At 40.9% G+C, this 22,040-nt stretch overlaps 1 protein-coding gene across 20 annotated transcripts in view; it reads left to right on the forward strand.

Annotated features, from left to right (window-relative positions):
- PLCB4 (phospholipase C beta 4) overlaps positions 1-22,040 on the forward strand; it is a 412,131-nt gene that overhangs the window by 313,639 nt on the left and 76,452 nt on the right. For 19 of the 20 annotated variants that reach the window (XM_024451898.2, NM_001377134.2, XM_005260724.3 and 16 more), the window contains 7 exons: positions 1,885-2,095; positions 5,147-5,240; positions 7,563-7,642; positions 8,215-8,299; positions 11,272-11,362; positions 13,207-13,302; positions 19,174-19,274. In XM_024451898.2, coding sequence (XP_024307666.1) covers positions 1,885-2,095; positions 5,147-5,240; positions 7,563-7,642; positions 8,215-8,299; positions 11,272-11,362; positions 13,207-13,302; positions 19,174-19,274 — 758 coding nt within the window. Of the gene's footprint in view, positions 1-1,884; positions 2,096-5,146; positions 5,241-7,562; positions 7,643-8,214; positions 8,300-11,271; positions 11,363-13,206; positions 13,303-19,173; positions 19,275-20,689; positions 20,806-22,040 lie in introns of those variants that run through there. The other variant, XM_047440206.1, reaches the window with a different exon arrangement.

Below are 22,040 nucleotides of genomic sequence, written 5' to 3' on the forward strand. Positions count from 1 at the left end.
CAGTGCCCTACAATTTATGGTCCACACAGCAGCCAGAGTAAACCTTTTAAAACCAAATCTAATCATGTTATTCCACCCTTTGAAACCCTCCAAAGGCTTCCCAACACATTTAGAATAAAATCTAAAATACTTAGTGAGGACTAAAGCCCAAGTGATGTAGCCTTTGGCTCCATCTCCAATCTCACTTCAAGCTACCTTTTTCCTTGGTCACTTGCTCTGTCTTGCTGTCATTGAATGATGTTGGCACGCATACATCTGCATCAAGGTCTTTGCACTTGATGATCCTTCTGCCTGGACTGGTGTTTCCTGGGTGTGCACGTGGCTTGCTCCTCACACATGTACGTGACCTCAGAAGGGCTTTCACTGGCCCATATTTAACACAGCATCCTGCCATGCTTCATCACCTTCCTCCCTGCTTTCTCTGTCCTTCTAGTACCTCTTTGACATTATATTTATTTGTTTACTTATTTGTTTCTGTCACTCATAATATGAGAGTTTCATGAAGGCAGGGCTTACCTGTTTCTTCTATCACTGCATCTATCCTGGTGCCTCTAAAAGTACTTGCTCTTTAGAATGAATGAAGGTGCCCAAGGAAAGAGGTATACAAATTTCTACTTTCATTTATAATTAGAAATGACCTAACTATCCATCAACCAAATAATGGATAATAAATTATGATATATTCATATATGGACTTCTGTACCTTCAGTGAAAAATAAATGAACAAGATCTACCTACATAGCTGGTATATAAAGATAAAAATAGCAAGTTGCAAATGCACACAGTGGGATAGTTTTTACATAAAATTAAAAACAGCCCAAACTACCCGTTGTTTGGATAAATGCATATGTAGTAAGGTTGCAGAACCATTTTGGAGGTAAACACCAAAACTAGGATACTAGTTATCTATCTGGTATGGAATGGAATTGAGGTGGGGTATACAGGATGCTGCAGTGGCATCAGAAATTATGTATTCTTTTACATGTAAGTCAAATAATCAAAAATGTAAATCAAATAAGGCAAAATGTTGAGATCTGACCACACTGGTGTAGGCCCGTGGCTATTCATTATGCTATCATCTGAACACTTCTGTATTAGCTTGAAATCAGTTCATAACTTGCAAGTTCTTAAATAAAACAAAAACTTGAAGCTGTCGATGCATCAACCATTTATAAGTTGCATAAATACTGATTGTTGCTCCTGTAGTTACCACGTGGGCTCTACCCCATGTCAGAAAGGTGTGATCGAAATGAAGGGTGGCTTTTGGGGCCACGTTTCAATGACCACTGTATACTCTTCTCACCAGTCCCATAACCTGACTTTTAGATAAAATTGAAAACTGAATTGTTTAAACTCAGAAGCACCATCATCTCCAAGAAAAATCCCTTTTCCAATTCAGTGAGAACAATGTCTTATAATTAATACATTTTCCATTTTTAAAGAGCACCTCTCGTATCTATTCTCATTTCCCATTATGAAGATCTTGGAAGTCAGATAGGTCCAGTCTTTTTCCCCAATTGACAGAAGAAGAAGCTGAGATCTAGGAGCCAAAGGAGTGAGTAGCAAGAGCAGAACTTGATACAGGCCCCCTGGACCCCTGGTCACCATAACTCCCAGTGCTGTGTTTCTGAACTTGGGGGACCATGTACATCTGCCATCATGGATGTAAAAGCAGAATACCACCTGTTTGTGGAATTCATTATGTTACTTATAATGTGCAACTCTCTTATTTCATTCAAGTTCTGACAGATGAAAGTTCTTGGGAAAGAGACTGTGAAGACGTTTTTACTCTTATAATTTAAGCTGCCTCAGCTTCCATGAATAAAACATGAGATATGCATCTTCAGAGCTACAAGTGCTACTAAGATGTTCTTTTTCCCCTAGGCCTTATATCAAGTGATGGGTTTTGCAGATATCTGATGTCAGATGAAAACGCCCCAGTCTTCCTAGATCGTTTAGAACTTTACCAAGAAATGGACCATCCTCTGGCTCACTACTTCATCAGTTCTTCCCATAACACTTATCTCACTGGCAGACAGTTCGGCGGGAAGTCTTCGGTAGAAATGTACAGACAGGTTCTCCTGGCTGGTTGCAGGTGAGGAACTCAAGATGGCAATTTGTTTTTTGTGTGTGATGCCCTTCAGTTTAATTTACTTTTCTCTGAAAAACAGGAAATAGTAATCAGGATGAAAAGGAAATTTGTTTATTCCCTTTAATGGATTATCATGGTCATTTAACGTTGAGAAAAGAAGGACAGTATCTCTTTCGGAAAAATCTTCAGTCATCCAAAAGACTTTACTGTGAAAAGACTTTTCTTTACTGTAAATTTAAAATATGCCTCCAAAACCACAAAAAAGAAAACATGCATATTGTAAGAAGGCGTGTTGAGTTTTTTGTTGATTATAGGTACTTGTTACTAGCACCATGCTCTAACCAATTGAGCTAACTGGCCATTGATTATAGGCACTTGTAAATTAGCTTTTTTTTTTTTTTTTTAGTATTTATTGATCATTCTTGGGTGTTTCTCAGTTTCTCAGAGAGGGGGATGTGGCAGGGTCATAGGATAATAGTGGAGAGAAGGTCAGCAGATAAACACGTGAACAAAGGTCTCTGGTTTTCCTAGGCAGAGGTCCCTGCCGCCTTCGGCAGTGTTTGTGTCCCTGGGTACTTGAGATTAGGGAGTGGTGATGACTCTTAACTAGCATGCTGCCTTCTAGCATCTGTTTAACAAAGCACATCTTGTACCGCCCTTAATCCATTTAACCCTGAGTTGACACACCACATGTTTCAGAGAGCACGGGGTTGGGGGTAAGATTATAGATTAACAGCATCCCAAGGCAGAAGAATTTTTCTTAGTACAGAACAAAATGGTGTCTCCTATGTCAACTTCTTACTACACAGACACAGTAACAATCTGATCTCTCTTTCTTTTCCCCACATTTCCCCCTTTTCTTTTCGACAAAACCGCCATCGTCATCATGGCCCGTTCTCGATGGTCACTGTCTCTTTGGAGCTGTTGGGTACACTTCCCAGATGGGGCGGCCTGGCAGAGGTGCTCCTCACCTCCCAGATGATGGGCGGCCAGGCAGAGGTGCTCCCCACCTCCCAGACGGGGCGGCCGGGCAGAGGCGCTCCTCACCTCCCAGATGGGGTGGCGGCTGGGCAGAGGCGCTCCTCACTTCCCAGTCGTGGCGGCTGGGCAAAGGCGCTTCTCACATCCCAGACGGGGTGGCGGCCGGGCAAAGGCTCTCCTCACTTCTCAGACGGGGCGGCTGGCAGAGGCGCTCCTCACATCCCAGATGGGGTGGCGGCCGGGCAGAGGCGCTCCTCACCTCCCAGATGGGGTGGTGGCCGGGCAGAGGCGCTCCTCACCTCCCAGACGGGGCAGCCGGGCAGAGGCGCTCCTCGCTTCCCAGACGGGGCGGCCGGGCAGAGGTGCTCCTCGCTTCCCAGACGGGGCAGCCGGGCAGAGGGGCTCCCCACATCCCAGACGATGGGCAGCCAGGCAGAGATGCTCCCCACTTCCTAGACGGGGTGGCGGCCGGGCAGAGGCTGTAATCTTAGCACTTCGGGAGGCCAAGGCAGGCGGCTGGAAGGTGGAGGTTGTGGCGAGCCGAGATCACGCCACTACACTCCAGCCTGGGCAACACTGAGCATTGAGTGAGCGAGACTCCGTCTGCAATCCCAGCACCCCGGGAGGCCGAGGCTGGCAGACCACTCGAGGTCAGGAGCCGGAGACCAGCCCCGTCAACAGGGCGATACCCCATCTCCTCCAAAAATAGAAAAACCAGTCAGGCGTGGTGGCGCACACCCGCAATCCCAGGCACTTGGCAGGCCGAGGCAGGAGAACCACGGAAGTCCGGGGCAGGGAGGCTGCAGCGAGCCGAGACCACGGCAGTATAGTCCAGCCTCGGCAACGGAGGGAGACCGAAGAAAGGAGGGAGGGGGAGGGGGAGAGGGAGAGGGAGAGGGTAAATTAGCTTTATTTGATGTAAAAGTTCAAAAATTTAGTTCTCTGAGAGTAGAAATTATTAAAATCGTTTTTGTTTTATAGAAACTGGCAAATATTTGAGATTTAAAATATGGCAAAAATGATGAAAGTGAAAAATAAGAAATGTAGTTACATTATGTTTTTTTCTTGGTTATAAATTAAACAATACTTTATTTTTTTAATTCATTTTTTTTTGGATATGGAAATATGTTAAAAGAAATTAACTGTCTTACTACTTCCATTTGCAAACTTCCTCTGAATACCTGAGTATGAATCACTAAACATTTTCTGAAATGGCCAAAGTAACATTATCCAGCCTATCAAAATTAAAAGTAATTTTTTTAATTTATTTTATTTTATTATTATTATACTTTAAGTTTTAGGGTACATATGCACAACGTGCAGGTTTGTTATATATGTATACATGCGCCATGTTGGTGTCCTGCACCCATTAACTCGTCATTTAGCATTAGATATATCTCCTAATGCTATCCCTCCCCCCTCCCCCCACCCCACAACAGTCCCATGTCATCTAAAACCCAGCCCACATTCATATTTCCCCAGTTGTCCCCAACCAAATTGTCCTTTTTTTTTTTTTTAATTGGGACAGAGTCTTACTTTGTTGCCCAGGCTGGAGTGCAGTGGCATGATGTCAGCTCACTGGAACCTCCCCTCCTGGGTTCAAGCAATTCTCATGCCTTAGCCTCCCAGGTAGCTGGGATTACAGCCTCCCAAGTAGCCATCACACCTGGCTAATTTTTGTATTTTTAGTAGAGATGGGGTTTCACCATGTTGGCCAGGCTGGTCTCCAACTCCTGACCTCAAGTGATCCGCCTTCCTAGGACACACCACGCCCGGCCCCCAAATTGTCCTTTATTGCGTTTTGTCACAAGTAGGATTTCATCCAGAACCATGATGCTTGTTATATTTCTTAAGTCTCTTAATCTCACTCAGACAATCCCCTTTTGATAATACCAACCAGATGAGGAATATAATGTGGTTTTAACCTGTATATGCCATGAAATAATCAGGTTACTTAATTTATTCAATTTTCTGTTCTGGAAGAAAACAACTTATTTTGATGTCTTTCTTTTAATTTGTATGAACACTATTTCATTGTAAAGTTTCAATATTGTAACTTCACTATATCCCTAGATGTGTTGAACTTGACTGCTGGGATGGAAAAGGTGAAGACCAAGAACCAATAATAACTCATGGAAAAGCAATGTGTACAGATATCCTTTTTAAGGTAACTTTAAAAATAATTACACAGACTTTTCCAAACTCTGTGAAAATGCAGGAAATAGGGAGATGGAGAAGAGAAAACAAATGATTCATTTTCTCAAGCATTATGCCTTCATATTCCCTTCTTCCAGTCTTGAGGAAAAAGTCAAGACAAAGATCTTTTCCACTGAACGTCCCCTTCATGATACTGTTCTTGCTTTCAAATGGTGACTGTGTTACATAACAAGGTTTCTCTGGCAGAGTTTACCTAGTTTTACTTACCTTAGAAACAGTGTCTCCTTTTGTTATCTACTTATTTGCTTATTTACTTTACATTATTCCTAAAGGACTTCAAGGTGGCATAAAAAGATAAATAGAATACAGGAATAAAATAGATTGTAAATAGGGCCTACAAGAATAAGAAAGGCCGGGCGTGGTGGCTCACGCCTGTAATCCCAGCACTTTGGGAAGCCGAGGCAGGGAGATCACCTGAGATCAGGAGTTGGAGACCAGCCTGACCAACATGGGGAAACCCTGTCTCTACCAAAAATGCAAAATTAGCTGGGCATGGTGGCACATGCCTGTAATCTCAGCTACTCAGGAGGCTGAGGCAGGAGAATGGCTTGAACCCGAGAGGTGGAGGTTGCAGTGAGCCGAGATTACACTGTTGCATTCTAGCCTGGACAACAAGAGTGAAACTCCATCTCAATAAATAAATAAGTAAATAATAAGATAATGAGGTTAGACAAATCAAAAGAATGAAATTCTGTGGTTTGCAAATGTCAGCTGCAGCTGTCTGTCGGTTTGGTATAACTCAGGATAGATATTACAACACCAGGAGCAGCGGTTCTCAACTCCACCTACATGTGAAACATCACCATGGGTATTTTCAAAAACATAGGTGCTGCTGGGCGTGGTGGCTCATGCCTATAATCCCAACACTTTGGGAGGTGGAGGCAGGTGGATCACTTGACGTCAGGAGTTCAAGATCAGCCTGGCCAACATGGTGAAACCCTGTCTGTACTAAAAATACAAAAATTAGCTGGTGTGGTGGCATGCACCTGTAATCCCAGCTGAGGCAGAGTCAGGAGAATTGCTTGAACACAGGAGGCAGAGGTTGCAGTGAAACCAGATCATGCCATTGCTCTCCAGCCTCAGCAACAGAGCGAGACTCTGTCTCAAAAAAAACACACATACACACACACGCAGATGTCTAGATGCTATGCATAGTATTTCTCTTAGCCAAGATATTGGAGAGTTTTGACCAGCAATGAATTCAAGATAATACTTCTTGATATGTACCAAGAGTATATTCAAGTGGGAAGCCATGAATTTGCATAGCCAGGAAGAATAACTAAATGACTACCTCAGCCACAAGGAATGCCTCAATAAAATATTTCAAGATTATCTAACCTTGGGCTTTATCATGTCAAATGGATTTGCCTAGATAACTATTGTGAAATATTTTTCTGATTAACTGAATGATGAGATTTGCCCTGTGATTAGCTACAAACCAGTAAGAATTTGGGGATTTTTACCAAATATGATGCTCCGGTTGTAGAAGTGCTGGTTTGAAGCCTTTCTTTCTAAAGCTAAGCAGAGACGGGGCCAACCATCTCTTAAAGCCTCTCCTATTTCATGGAGAATAGTGAAAGGGAAGATTATGTTTAGCTCCTTCAAATGTTGTTTTCTGTAATTAAGTTCTGTGTTACAGATGGGGGGTCAAGAACACTTCTATGTTTCACTTACATGTTGCTTGACCAACGAGAACCCCTTCCCCCGGCCTTGTAACCAGGCTAATAGGAAACAAGGGATACTGCAAATGTCACTTTAGTACACAGAGGTCTACATCAAGTTAATGAAGTATAGCCCAAGACTGATTTCCAAACACAGAGGAAAGTCAGTGAAAGCCTCCAGCAGTCCTGAGGTTACTACCCACACTTTTCTGCATGAGGTGGGGAGGAGTCATACAGTGGTCGGGAGTGAAAACCTCTGTGCCAGAGATCACCTGCTCCTCAAGAAGAAAGGTGGACTCTGAACTCCTGGCCTGGCAGATTAACAAGCCACAGACTGGCATGCCATTTAGGTGAAATCTCTTGTAAGTTAATAGCACCATAATTCTGGAGAAGTAAAAGATAGCTTAAAAAATTGTCATTAACCATTAACTGCACCCTGGCTATAACCACAGGGAACTCAACCTTTAGAGGTGTCAAGGTAGATGGGGGCTCCAGGTCTGAATTGCTGGAATTGACTTTCTGAAAGACTCAATTAATAGTCTCTGAATAGTTTTGGGTGCCTTAATTTTTTTGCTCTTTTCTCTCATTAACGTTTTTTTTTGTTTTTAAAGGATGTAATTCAAGCCATCAAGGAAACTGCATTTGTCACATCAGAATATCCTGTAATTCTCTCCTTTGAAAATCACTGCAGGTATAATGATCCATTCTGCCACAAGTCTCTATGTGGTATTGTTTCCTAACCCCTAATGCCCACTCCTGCTCTACAACTTTTTAAATAGCTGAATAGTTTGTTTTGTGAAGTACTAAGTTCAAATAATTCTCCAGCAAGGGCACCTACTCTTATGCAAAGCAAAAAACAACAAAAAAAGGAAAAAACGACAAAAAACCACCCTTGTCCCCCCAAACCAAATCATTTTAATGTGTTTCAGAAATACTTGTTCCAAATAAAAGTTCAGAGATTGGGACACCTTACTTAAAGTTCCATTGAGCTGGAAGATTTGACAGTATATTTGAAATCAGATTTGATGAACTTGAAAGACATTTTTTATTCTTCTTTCCAGCTCTTAGTTTTGGAACAGAATCTCCTTCTCCTTCTTTTAAAATTATACCAGTTAAAGTTTTTGATACATCTCACATTAGCATTAAGAGGACAATAATGCATTTTGCCAAGTGAGAATCTTTAATTGCCTAGTAATGGGTGTTTCTTATTCTTGGACGGTTAATGGGTGTTTGAATTTACAAATGCCACTTTTTTCTCTCCAGCAAATATCAACAGTACAAGATGTCCAAATATTGCGAAGATCTATTTGGGGATCTCCTGTTGAAACAAGCACTTGAATCACATCCAGTATGTATTTTTAACAAACCATATTTCTAGCATGAATGGATTTGTTTTGAAAATTTCTGAAGGGTCAAGTAGTACTAGAGGACTAATGCTAAAGATCTTCATATTTATTTAAATTCTTTGGTACGGAAAGCTTACATCATGCTTCAGAGGGATGTAAAGAGACACAAAATAAACATCTGGTTCAATTTCATTTGGAGGATCTTTGGGTCTTATGGTTTTCAGATCTCAGTCTTAAAGTTTCATAAAGCACCCAGGCCAAGAGTCCAGATTCAGGTCAGTTGTTCTCAAATTCAGTTACATGTTAGAATCACCTACAAAACTGTTAAAAACACCTGTGCCAGGGCCCCACTTGGAGACTGATTTAATTGATGCAGGGTCAGCCCTGAGCATGGTGTTTTAAAAGCCCTCCAGGTGAACTGTATATGCACCCGGTATTCAGAACCCATGGGAGGCTCATGCTGTGGAAAGTGCCCTGGATTGATGTCACGACATCCTGAAGTTCATGTTCCTAACTCCAAAATAAATCACTGAGTAATGTTGCACATACATTTTTGAACTTCATGTTAAACCTGCTAATTTCTTCATAAAGCAAAGAACATTAACCTGTGCTCCATAGATAGGCTTTATGAGATCTGTGAATTCATTCTAATTGCATGCAATTTTTTTGTATATACTCATTCTAGAGAGTTAATCACATTTTTATAAGGATCCATGACCTCCAAGAGATTAAGATCCACAATCACAAGATGTTATGAGCTCCAAGGCAGCTAATGAAATCAAAGTGGAAAGACCTGCTATTGACAGCAGCACCTGATGGGCTCAAACCTGGTAGCATGAGGTAGTGGCAGAAGAACATCACAGCAAATGACAGCAGGAAGGTGCTTTGTGCTACATGTAAACACTTTATGAGGTTCTTTTCAGAAGTGTGTCTATGGGAACTGAAAAAAAATATGAGAGACAAGGATATCTGTATCCTTTGTCCCCCTTCCTTCTTCCCTCGAACTTGCAGAAGCAGTTGCTGCAGGTGACCTGCCCATATCCTTGCAGTGCCTCCTGTTTCCCTGAACACTGGCCTGACTTTCCACTGCCAACATCCACAGCTTTTTGCCTGAGAGTGAGCTCTGGTCACTGGAGCCTGCTCTGCCACACATGAAAGACCAGCAGTGCCAGGGAATTATCACCCCTATCCCATGCTTCATCCCTCCCGAGGTGGGATAACCCTGAGCACCTGCTCTTCTCTGCCTTCCAGGGTTTCCCAGCAGGATCGTGCTCCAGCTGGCTGCAGTGATAACACACCCTTGATGAGCTGCCTGTCTTCTTTTTCTCACTTTCCCACACCTCTGTTGGAGTTTCCTTCCAAGTAGACGACCTGGTGCAATACTACTTTTCTCTGAGGCTGATTTTAAGGGAACCCAAACTAAGAAACAGCTCTGATTTATTTTATTTGTTTTTACCTAGGCCCTCCATTTATCTTTCTGATTAGGTTAAGGTGATTGCTTTTGTGGAAAGTTCACTGTATTCTTAGTGAAGTGATGTGCACATACTTTTACCAGCTGAAGGGTGTCCAGGTTCTTGGCATCTTGAACAAAGAATCGGACAAAATGCACAAACAAAGCAAGGGAAGAATGAAGCAACAAAAGCAGAGATTTATTGAAAATGAAAGTACACTCCACAGGGTGGGAGCAGCCTGAGCAGAGGGGCTCAAGAGCCCTGTTACAGAATTTTCTGGGGTTTAAATACCCTCTAGAGGTTTCCATTGGTTACTTGGTGTCCGGTCTATGTAAATGAATAGGATGAAGTAAAGTTATAAAGTCATTTACTTGGTGTACATCCTTTGTAAATGGAGAGGATATTTCCTGTCATAGCTGAAGTGTTTCCATTTGATTTAGTTCTAGGAAGTCAGCATGAATAGGCCTTATATTCCCTGCCTCAAGACCCTATTCTCCTTTGAATACAGGACAGGTGTCTGGGGAAGCATGGGTAATATAAATGGGAATAAGACCTGCTCCAAAAGCTAAAGAGCTTTCAACCTTGGGAGTGGGAGCAGGACACAAATGTGAACACATAACTAGAAAAGAAGATGGCGTATGGTGCTTTATTTGTTGGAGGTGTCCTGGTACAAGAGAGATCACTGGGGAATGGGCCAGTTATACCACGCTGCTGGAAGGAAACAGCATTTCAACAAAGGGTTTTATTTGAGGCAAGACAGACATATGAGTGCACAGTGCCTTACATATAATAAGTAGTATAAAAGCAAGTTTTGAAAATGAATGGATGGGTGGAGGGGTGGGTGGGTGGGCATATAGAGAGATGGGTGGAGGAATGGGGAATGGAAGACTAGATACAGGACGGTTCTGTAGACCAGAGGTGATAGCATACAGGGGCACCTCCTTTGCAGATATAAATCTAAGCAAATGATGCTGTAGTCAAGTTCAGATTCCAGGAATTGGAACAACTCCCTTCTTGATTCCCTTATCAAACCTACAAAACCACAAAACCACAATCTCAAGTGTTGAGGGTTGGGTCAGCCTACTCAGCAGACAGGCTTACTATACAGCCTGACACTTGGGGGGATCTGGGGGGCCTCTCACTTGGGAAAGCTAATTCTGAACCCAGCCATCACAATTGTCCCTTGCACTTTACCAGATACTTAAAAGGTGCAAGGCCCTCTGGGGAGCAGGAACCCCTCCCCGGCACATCCCAGGCCAGACCCCTGCTCCACTGGGGAGGTTGGAGCAGCTCTGCACACCTCTGGAAACTATGTGGATTTCAAGTTTGCAGCACTAGTCTAAGGAAAAGCTCAATGGGTGTGCTAATTTGGGTTGGGGAGTGAAAACAGAAGGCTGTGCCGCCTGCCATCTAGTGGGTGTTGGGTTGCATCACTCCCAGGCCTCCCAGGCTCCTCCTGGACTGGGAAGGAGAATGGAGAAGCACAGCCCTTCCTTAATTCAGCTCTTTCTGTTTCTCTCTAGCTTGAACCAGGCAGGGCTTTGCCATCCCCCAATGACCTCAAAAGAAAAATACTCATAAAAAACAAGCGGCTGAAACCTGAAGTTGAAAAAAGTAAGTGAAACACACACATTTATAATGGAAGCATACATAACATGTGTGGACATTTCAGCTGTTGAGAATTCAATTTATTTTAAAACCACTGATTTTTGGGGGAAGGGTGTAGGGGTGATGTTACAGGTACTTTTCAGAGCAAGATTGCCACATTTCCATTTAAATTTAATTTCCATATCAATTAATTCATGCAGTAGGAAAAGCATATCTATATATTCAAATGCCAGAATTTGGAGAGGGCCCAAGGAAAATTGAGAGGAAAGTAGAAGCATTTTAGAATTTCTCAAGATATAAGGAACCAGCATTTTATAATTTTATACACTCTAAAGTCCTCATAAGTTTCCCTTTTCAGTTTGCCCCGTGCTCTATACCTATCTAGGGATACTAGGTACATATGAGTGTGTGACTGTGTATATGTGAATAGAGAGATCTAGAGACAAATGATTTTATATAAACATGTTTCCTTTTATTCTCCCAGGATGATTTCCTTGAAAATATTTTCTTTCAGAGTATATCCTAGTTCAGTGAATTAATGGTATCAAATATTGGCATGATTACACTTCATTTTCCCCCCAAGTATTCTAAATGAAAAATTTTAAATTATGTTAATGACAGTTTATTTTATTACAAAAGCAATAATGCCATAGAAAAATCAAGACAATGAAAAGTGTAAGAAAGTAACAGCACTAACATATATTATACACGTATTCATATACTATAGACACATGTACGTAATGTACATGTGTAGATATATACCCACATTTTTAACATGACTGAGATCATATTAATGATACTGAGTTTAAATTTTTAAAATTTAACCAAGTAAGTATACTTACATCAGCAGGATATACATCTACATACTAACTTTAATCCTAATGTATGAAACACTATATAGAATTTAATATATATGACATAGAATTGTATGCATTTATTATAGCATGATGTAACGAGTCCCAAGTTGATGGATTTTCACTACTATAAACATGCTTGAATGTTATTTTGTATGTTTGTGCAACCCTCTCCTTGAAATCAATTGGTGCAATTAGAGTTATTCAGCCAAAACGTATATATATTTTATATTGTGATATAGTTTGTTATGCTTTCTTTTAGGAAAGTTCTACCACCTTAGACTCTTCACCAGTCATATATGAGAGTGCCTGTTTCCCACCAATATCCTTAATGCTGGCTGTTGGCCATTTTTAAATGTGTGTCCAACTCATAGAAAAAAATTGGTACCTTAGGGGTTTTTTTATTTGTGTGTCTTCAATAACTCCTTTTTTGCATATTACTATTTGTGGTTTGTCCCTATGTGTTTTCCCATTTTTATTATTTTGTTTACCTTTATCTTTCTGACTTATAGAAAAATTATTTAGTCTTATTTTGTATAGTAGGATATAATCCCCATTAAATCAGTTGCAAATATTTTTTCCTGAAGTTTTGTTGCCAACCTGCCTATTTTCTATCAGTTCCCCATAACTGTTCGTAAACCTTGGTCTGTGCCAGATTCTCCAAATTATGGGCTTTTGTTATCTAGCCTTAAATCCTTCACGAGGACTGAACCTCCTCTCAAACTTGGTGACCAGAATTTTGGGCATTTCACCCATGTCCCCGCAATTCTTCATCATGTGTATATAAGGTGGTTGTTGCAGGTTTCTTACAAGGTCGAGACCACCAGGAAATGGCGAGAGAGAGATCACTGCTGAACCTTAGAAACATGGTGCCTTGGTGCCTGAACATTCTATTTCTTCTCTCTTTTCACGTCCTCCTCAGTGTCGATCTCAAGGCCTAGGGTTTGTATGTTACCTAGCATCTGTCACCATCTCTTTGCGTGTTTTTGCTAACAGAACAGCTGGAAGCTTTGAGAAGCATGATGGAAGCTGGAGAATCTGCCTCCCCAGCAAACATCTTAGAGGACGATAATGAAGAGGAGATCGAAAGTGGTGAGCTGTTTGCTTTTATTTTAAGTTACATGCTTTGAAAATACTTTTTAAATAAGAAAACCAGGCTGGGCACAGTGGCTCAAGCCCATAATCCCAGCACTTGGGGAGGCCAAGGTGGGAGGATTGCTTGAGCCCAGGAGTTCAAGACCAGCCTGGGCAACATTTTCGTAGAGATGAGACCCCATGTCTACAAAAAATAAAATATTAGCCAGACGTGGTGGCCTGTGTCTGTAGTCCCAGCTACTGGGGAGGCTGAGGCAGTAGGATCCCTTGAGCCCAGAGGTTCAAGGCTGCAGTGAGCTATATGTAATCCTACCACTGCACTCCAGGCTGGACAACAGACTGAGGCCTTGTTTCAAAAATAAATGAGTAAGAAAACCAGGAATTTCTTTCAGAAGACCCTTTTATATAATAATGCCGTTTTAATTCCTCATAGTAATATTTTGGTATTCTTGGTATTTTGCCAAACACTTCCCATTTTTTCTGGCTACTAAATTTTAATGGCCTTGTCATCTCCCTTCCTATTGGCCATTCAGCTATTCAGCAGAAATTCTTAGCCAGAGAATCCCTGAAGCACTTGCTGTAGTAGGCAGAGGAAGCAATATAAGGCACATTTTGTAATCCCTTTGTATAGACAAAAACATGAACTTGAGTCTGTTAATGATGAGAGTAGAGAGGCAAATAATTTAAGAGACCCTCAGGCAAATGATTGGTTTGTCTCCACAAAGTGAACTAGAAACTAAAAGCCAGTATTAAAATTTCAAGTTCAAATTCCTTCAAATAACCAGCTCACCAGAATTATCTCTGTGTAGCTAGATAATTTTAAGAAGGCAGTCTTGCTTAAAATATTTGAGTATGTGCTATTACCTTCTCTTTTACTTTGATCACATAGCAACAATCATAATGTTCAGTTGTAAATGGGTCATTTGAGAGTTTGGGGATGATTTTAGAGAATTATTTGTTTGTTATGTTTCATGAGAATTGATGAACGAAATGACAAGGACTTGTGTTGGTTATACAATGCCTTGGATTTATATACAGGCATACCTTGGAAATATTGCAGATTCAGTTCTAGACCACTACAATGAAGTAAATATTGCAAAAAAATTATTCACAAGAATTTTTGTTTCCCAATGCATACAGAAATTATTTACACTGTACTGTAGGCTAGTAAGTGTTCAATAACAGCATTATGTCCAAAAATGTAACTTAATTAAAAAATACCTATTGCTTAAAAATGCTGACAATTATCTAAACCTGCATCATATTGAAATCTTTTTGTGGAGGGTCTTGCCTTGAGTGATCAGGGAGGCAGTTGCCAAAGATTGGGTTGGCTGTGGTAATTTTTTAAAATAAGACAACAATGAAGTTTGCTGCATCAATTGACCCTTCTTTTCACAAAAGATTTCTCTGTAGCATGCAGTGCCATTTGATGACACTTTACCCAGAGCAGAGCTTCTTTCAAAATTGAAGCCAATCCTCTCAAACCCTGCTGTGATGCCTTCTCAACTAGGTTTATGTAATATTTTAAATCCTGTGTTGTCATTTCAACAATGCTCACAGTATCTTTACCTGGAGTAGATTCCATCTCAAGAAACCACCTTCTTTGCTCATTCACAAGAAACAACTCCTCATCGGTTTAAGTTTTATCATGAAATTGCAGCAATTCAGCCCCATGTTCAGGCTCCTTTTCAAATTCTAGTTCTCTTACTCTTTCTACCACCTCTGCAGTGACTTCCTCCACTGAAGTCTTGAACCTCTCAGCGTCATCCATGGGAGTCTCCCAAACTCCTATGAACGTTGATATTTTTACCTCTTCCCATAAATCATGAATGTTCTTTCTTAATAGCATCTAGAATGGTGAACATCAGAAGCTTTTCAGTTTACTTTGCCCAGATCCATCAGAGGACATTCTCTTTTAGGAAAGCTAGACATAGAGCTAAAAATCCAAAAGTTGGAAGAATTAACTAACCTTATTCAAGACTCCTTAATAAAGACTCCTGACTGTGGAACAGACTTTATAAGTGATTCAGTTGCATGTCCAGTCCTTGGGTTTGACATTACTCCCAGAGAAAAGTCATAATGACTGTACTTTCATTTGTTTTATGTGGCAGGGAGGGTCTAAGAGGCTAAAGATATCTGATACTACTCAGTTGATACTCGTTATTATGGTCATCTGTTACTATGCAATAAACCATCCCCAAATTTAGGGGCTTATAACAACACCTTATCATTTTCTGTCATAATTCTGTGGGTCATGTGGGCTTAGGTTGGTGGTTCTCCCTTGGGTTTCTCCTGCTTTTGTCAGCAGATGACATCTGGGGCTGACTGGTTCCCTTGGGTGGGTTATCCCGGACGGCTTACTCACATGCTGGCAGTGGATGCTGGCTGAACGCTGGGAGCTCCGCTGGGCCTCACTGACCATAGTATCCCTGTGGCCTCTCTCTGTGACTTGGGCTTCTCATAGCACGATGGCTAAGTCCCCCAGATGGAACATCTAAGAGCCAGTGTCTCAAGAGGCAGGAAGCAGAAGCTGCTAAATTAGTTAAGAGCTAGGCCTGGAACTGGTGCAGTATCACTTCCTCTATGTTTTATTCATCGAAGCAGTCTCAGGGCCCATCCAAGTTCAAGAGGGTGAGTGAGTGACAAGGTCACGTTGCATAAGAGCACAGAGGAGGGCAGATGATACGGCAGCTGTCTTTGGAAAATATAGTCAGCCGTGATGCCTACTATATTTTTTCACATGTTTTTGCAAATAATAAATCTAAACAAGATTTAAGAAAAATATATTTATAGAACTGTGTTTCAAATGGTCAAGAAAATACTCCTAAGATACAAAAAAGATGACTATTCAGTAAAACCAGTTCCTTTAAGTTAAATTTCATAGATGGTAATTAAAATATGTAAGGCATTACTGATACGATAATCCAGTAAAACAAACTGCAGAAATAATGGAATAAATTAACAAGAAAACAATGTTAATAATAATTACTACCATCGTTGTACCAACAGTGGACCAGGCAGCTTACATTATGGCCTTATCTAACCTGTATACAGCCTGATGAAATGGGTATTATTATTATTATTATTATTATTTTTGAGATGGAGTCTTGCTCTGTCACCCAGGCTGGAGTGCAGTGGCGCGATCTCGGCTCACTGCAAGCTCTGCCTCTGAAATGGGTATTATTACACCAATTTTTCAGATGAGAGGACTGAAGCTTAGAGAGGTAACATATTTTGCACATGATCCCACAGCGGGCAACCGATTGCACTAAGATTCAATCCCAGAGCTACCTGATTCAAGTCAAGACTTTTGTACGTTACAGTACTGCCCTTTCAATTCACAGGAATATGGTGAAAACATAGATATGCAAAAATACTTTTTTAAAAAGGAGAAAGAATAGAACGAATGAAAGTCAAAGATGTGATGTTTCCTAAACACACACAGTCATCTGAAATTAGCATCTGTATGGCTTCATGTATTATTCTTAAAGGTGCTTTCCCACCATCTACATCCATATGGTAATTATTCCTCCAGGCAGAAAAATATTTGCCTCTAGTGACTCCCATGTTATTCCAAAATATACTTGAGATTTGGGTTAAGTCTTAACAGAAATAACCACATGATTTAGTATCCACGTAGGAAAGTACCTAAGGACAGAATCATCCACCTAGATGGCACAAGGCTCCTGTTTCACCTGTTATGTGTGTGATTCTTAGGTTGCCTCAGTAATACTTGGCTTTGGTTCTGGTCAACTAGTCGGCTATAATTACCTTAGTGCCACTGTATGAATCTACTATCTATGTGTGGCTAGAGTCTCTAATTTAAATACATCAACACAGCAGGCAAGGGGAAACCAAGCATAGTTCAATAGGGGAGGCCTGCCTGGAGGCTGTAGAAAATAGAAAAGGCTTTCAGTCAGTGAAAGCAGGTGCCCAGGCATTAGGCTGGATTTAGATTCAGAAGGACATGTGGCTCCCAGGATAGGAGACAAGTAGTGGAGAATATCAAAATTGTATGTGGTTATAGGTGTGTCTGTGCATATCTGCACACTCAGAAAGTGATCATGTATTCATACAATTCTCTTAAGGTGGTTAGTAAGTCTCCACCACTTGTTTGGGGTATGCCCCTTGCCTTCAAGTGGTTTACATCTGTATTGGCAGTTTAGACATAAATTAAATTAAATGAAATGAAATTAATAAATTAAATGAAAATTTAATAGTGACATGAGAAGTTTTGAAATCTTGGTTACTGACTGTAGGTCATGGAAACCTAGTCCTGGAAGAACTATGTTAAGAATTCAAGAGACAGGTAGATCCATTATCTTGCTGTGTGATTTCAGACAAGTCAAATCATATCTCTGCATCTAGTTCCTCGTTTATAAGTAAAGACAGATGCTGGATTAGATTATTTTAAGATGTATTCCATTTCCTCAAATCCTTTTCTTCCTGCCTAAGCCTTACAATTACCCACTTGTTGTTGTTGTTGTTGTTTGGATTTTGTTTTTTTAATCGTCTGCCTCTAGAATATCCCTTCATCAGAATTGTTAGCTCCAGAAGAGGAAGGTGGCTGTTTCTTTCCCTCACCCTCCTCCTGTGCCTGGAGAGATACTTCACAAAATAAAACAGTCTATCTAGAAATTCTGAATCCAGATACTACCAGTTGAAAGATACCACTGTTTTATTATGACTAAGAAAGAAAAAGTAGTTTCCATTCACTGGAAAAAACCGTCAGTTGAAGAACACACTGCAATATCAGAAATATTAAATCAAAAAAAGTACATCTTAGAATCAGTGAAATCATTTTTCATTTACTCCTGTTCTTTCATTCTCCTTTGTACTTTTAAACATGCTTTAAAAAAATCTATCTCATTCTTATGGGTCTACTCATTTCCTTTCTGAATTTCTCAGAAATTATTTTAGTGGGTTTTTTTGTTTTGTTTTTACAGTAACGTTCCCTCATGCCCTGTGGTGTGACCATGTGGATTTATATTGTCCTCATCCTGATGTCTGTGGGTTTCTCCTGATCCTGGCTAGATTTTAGGCAAATTCTTTATCTGGGAATTACTGCAAATAGTGATTGTGTGAATCCAAATCTCACCTCAGCATGTTGCACATTTTCCAGCAGGTACTTCTTTTTTTTCCCCACGAACATCCTGGGTGGATTCTGGCATTCTTGTCACTTTCCTGGACCAATGAACACAGTGTGTGTACTTCCTTTCACAGACTAGACCACGCTCCAGGGACACCAGCTTTATTTGGCACCCACTTCCACTTCTCCTCCTACCTGAGCCTGACAAATGAGCCCTGAGCCTTTGAAACCTATGCTAGGTTTGACAAATAGTTTGCAGGAGTAGCACAATCCTTCTGAGGCCTTTCTTTTTTCTACCACTCCAAGCTATAAGTCATTATGCCCATAAAATTCAAGTGGACATTTTAGTCTCTTTCAAAATTATCCGATGTATTTGTTTTCTTGCATCTTCTTATTTGCTCTTGATGTCATGAAAGATCAAAACACCTTTTTATGAGTTATAGATATTCCTGCAGTGTTTGAGGCTTTCATTTTTAGAATTAGTATACTAGAATAGAAGTAGCCATCCACTTAAAAAAAATTTATTAAGCATCAAGCATTTCAAACCACATTTTAGGAGCAGGAGAAATAATACATAACAAGATGTGCTCCTTGACGTTGAATAGGTAAGAGTTTAGTGAGAGTTTTACTTGAAAAAATACTGCATATATCAATGTCCCCATTTTCTTTTAGCATCCTTTTTCTCTAAAAGTGCTTATGTTCTACCCAAGATTGTGAACAAGGTCTGACTACTTGGCAGTGGTTTGGTGTCATGGATTTTCCATTTGTCTTTCACACAGCTGACCAAGAGGAGGAAGCTCACCCCGAATTCAAATTTGGAAATGAACTTTCTGCTGATGACTTGGGTCACAAGGAAGCTGTTGCAAATAGCGTCAAGAAGGTCAGAGTCCCCTTTCTTTCATCACTCTCAAGAGGTAGCAGCTGTTATTTATGAAATTTTGGAAATGTGAGAACCACAAGAGAATAAAGTAACCTATAATTCCCCTTCTAAATTGCTTAGGATACGAGTCTGTGCTGGGTGACCAGAACTTGACACATACACAATATTAAATTTAAAAGGACATTTAAATTACTCATTAGTCAGGGCCAGTGTTAACCACTACCCATTTGGCCAGTGTCCTCTAAATATTATCATTTATTGTGTTATTGCAGCTGGGGAGGGAGAAAATGACAGCATCCCAGGGGTAAGATTTAATCTTGAATTCATCAGGAAAATGACCCCTGAACATCCCGAGTCTAGCCCTCATTTGAGAACTAGTCCTGCTAATTATATACCTTCCCCCTAAAGTACAGTAAGCATAAAAATGTTTCCAGATATTCAGCCAAGGAAAATAGTTATTCATATACTTACCTTTTGTCAGGCATAGTCTAGGCCATAATGACCTAAAAGTGTAAAACACACTTGCCTTCTGCCCTTAGGCAGCTCATGGCCCCCTGTAGTTTAGGGAAAGGGATCGGAAACAGCAAACAAGCAAGTAGTCAAATAACTATATAATTACAACTTACGGTGAGTGCAATTATGAACATAAACACGCATGCTGAAGAATAATGAAGTAGAAAGAATAAGGAAACCAGAACGCAAAGGGTCAAGAGGAATTGGCCATGCACAGAGGTTGATGAATCACTTTCCATGCGGAGGGACCACAGTAACAACAGCAAGGGCTGTGAGTAGAGTGGCTTGAGTGAGGGTGGAGTGAGACGAGATGAGGCAGGTAGGTGGGAACTGGGTGATGTAGGATTTTGGAGGCCATTATGAGAAATTCAAATATTCAGTGAAATGTGACACTACTGAAAAAGTTTAGAGAAGGGGGCAGTGTAGCCTGATTCAAGTTTTAAAAGATTGCTGTGGTTGCCATATGGAGACTAGTTTAGGAGGAAACAGGAGTGGAAGCAGGAAAAGCAGTGAGGACAGGCTGCTGCTCTAGGCCAGACGAGAGTCCCCGATGGTCAAACCAGACAATGCATCAGAGAGGACTGAGTGGCTTCAAGACATATTGAGAAATGGGACAGCCTACTGATGGATGGAATGTGGGAATGAGAGAGAAAGAAGAAGTGAGATGACCCTCTAGTGTCCTTGTTTGAGGAACTGGGTAGGTGATGGTACCATTTACTGGCATGGGGAAGACCGAAAGAGAAAGAATTCAGGAGTTTCAAATGGGATGACTATTTGAGATGCCTGTGAAGTATTCAAGGGGAGGTGTTCATATAGCATTGCCATCTGACTCTTTCTCTGGGTTCATTTCCTAACTGTCTAACTTTGGGTAAGTTACTTAACCTCTGTGTACCTTAGTTTCCTCATCTGCAAAGTGAAGACGATAACACCTATTTCATGGGGTCACTGTGAAGAGTGGATGGTTTGTGACATGTCAAGAGCTTAGCGTGGTGCCTGGTACATGGTAACTCCTGTAAAGGTATTAGTTGCTGGTATATTATCATCCTTTTCATCTTTATCATTGTCATTATCCTCATGATCACTGGCGTCATTATCACGCGTATATAGAAGACAGGTTGAGCTAGAGATACAAGTTGGGAGTTCAAAAGATCGTATTTGAAACAATGGAAATACTGAGATGATTCACAAGGAAAGGTGGAAAAGAAGGCCCAAGTGGAGCCCTAGTTAAAAGTGGAGCCAGAAAAGAAGAGCAAGGTATGGCTAGAGAAGTAGGAGGGAAATTAGGCAGTGACACCAAGAAAACCAGGAAAGAGAACAGTGTTAACAGAAGGACTGAGTGGTTGACTGTAGAATATGTTAAAAATCTTAGACAAATTAAATTTAACAGAGTTTAGTTGAGCAAAAAAAACAATTCCCAAATTGGGCAGGACCCAAACCAGAAGAGGTTCAGAGAAACTCCAGTGCAGCCATGTGGTGGAAGATTTTTTGGCAGAAAAAGGAAAGTGACCTACAGAAAACAGAAGTGAGGTACAGAAGCAGCTGTATTGGTTACAGGCTTATTTGCCTTATTTGAACAGAGGTTGAATAGTTGGCCACCTTTGATTGGCTGAAACTCAGTGATTGGCACATGAGTAGGTTCCAGTCTGTTTACACACCCATTCAGTCTACAGTTTACTATGTGAAAGTTTATGAAAAAACCTTTAGAATAGGTAAAGAGACACCTTTAGGCTAAACTTAATTTAACAAATGCTACTGACTGATTAAGTAAGAAGACTCAAGAGTGTCCTTTGGGTTGTTAGCATGGAGGTCGTTGGCAACCTTAAAGAGACATTTCAGTGGAGTGCCAGGCAGGGTGGTGACACTGGATCACACAGATATGAATGACTAGAGACTATGCTTTTGAGAAGTTTTGATGTGAAGGGGAGCAAGAAATGGACTGGTGGCCAAGGGCACCTGAGGAGTCAAGGGAGTGTTTTCTTTTTCGGATGAATGAATCTGGAGTGTGTTTGAAAACTTGGAAGTGGTGCAGTAGAGAGGAAGAGATTAGTTTTGCAGGAAAGAGAGGGGATAACTGCCTGGAATTCCTTGAGGAGGTGGAAGAGGGTGGGATTGCTGTGGTGCAAAGGTGTGGCCCTTCACAGGAGCAGGAACACCTGATTAGTGAAGACAGTGGATGAAGATGCAGGTAGGCAGATACATTTGGTGATAGGAAGAGGGGAGAGTATTTGTCTGATGAGCAAAGCCAAAGGAATA

This window comes from Homo sapiens, chromosome 20 (genome assembly GCF_000001405.40).
Source record: "Homo sapiens chromosome 20, GRCh38.p14 Primary Assembly".
NCBI lineage: Eukaryota > Metazoa > Chordata > Mammalia > Primates > Hominidae > Homo > Homo sapiens.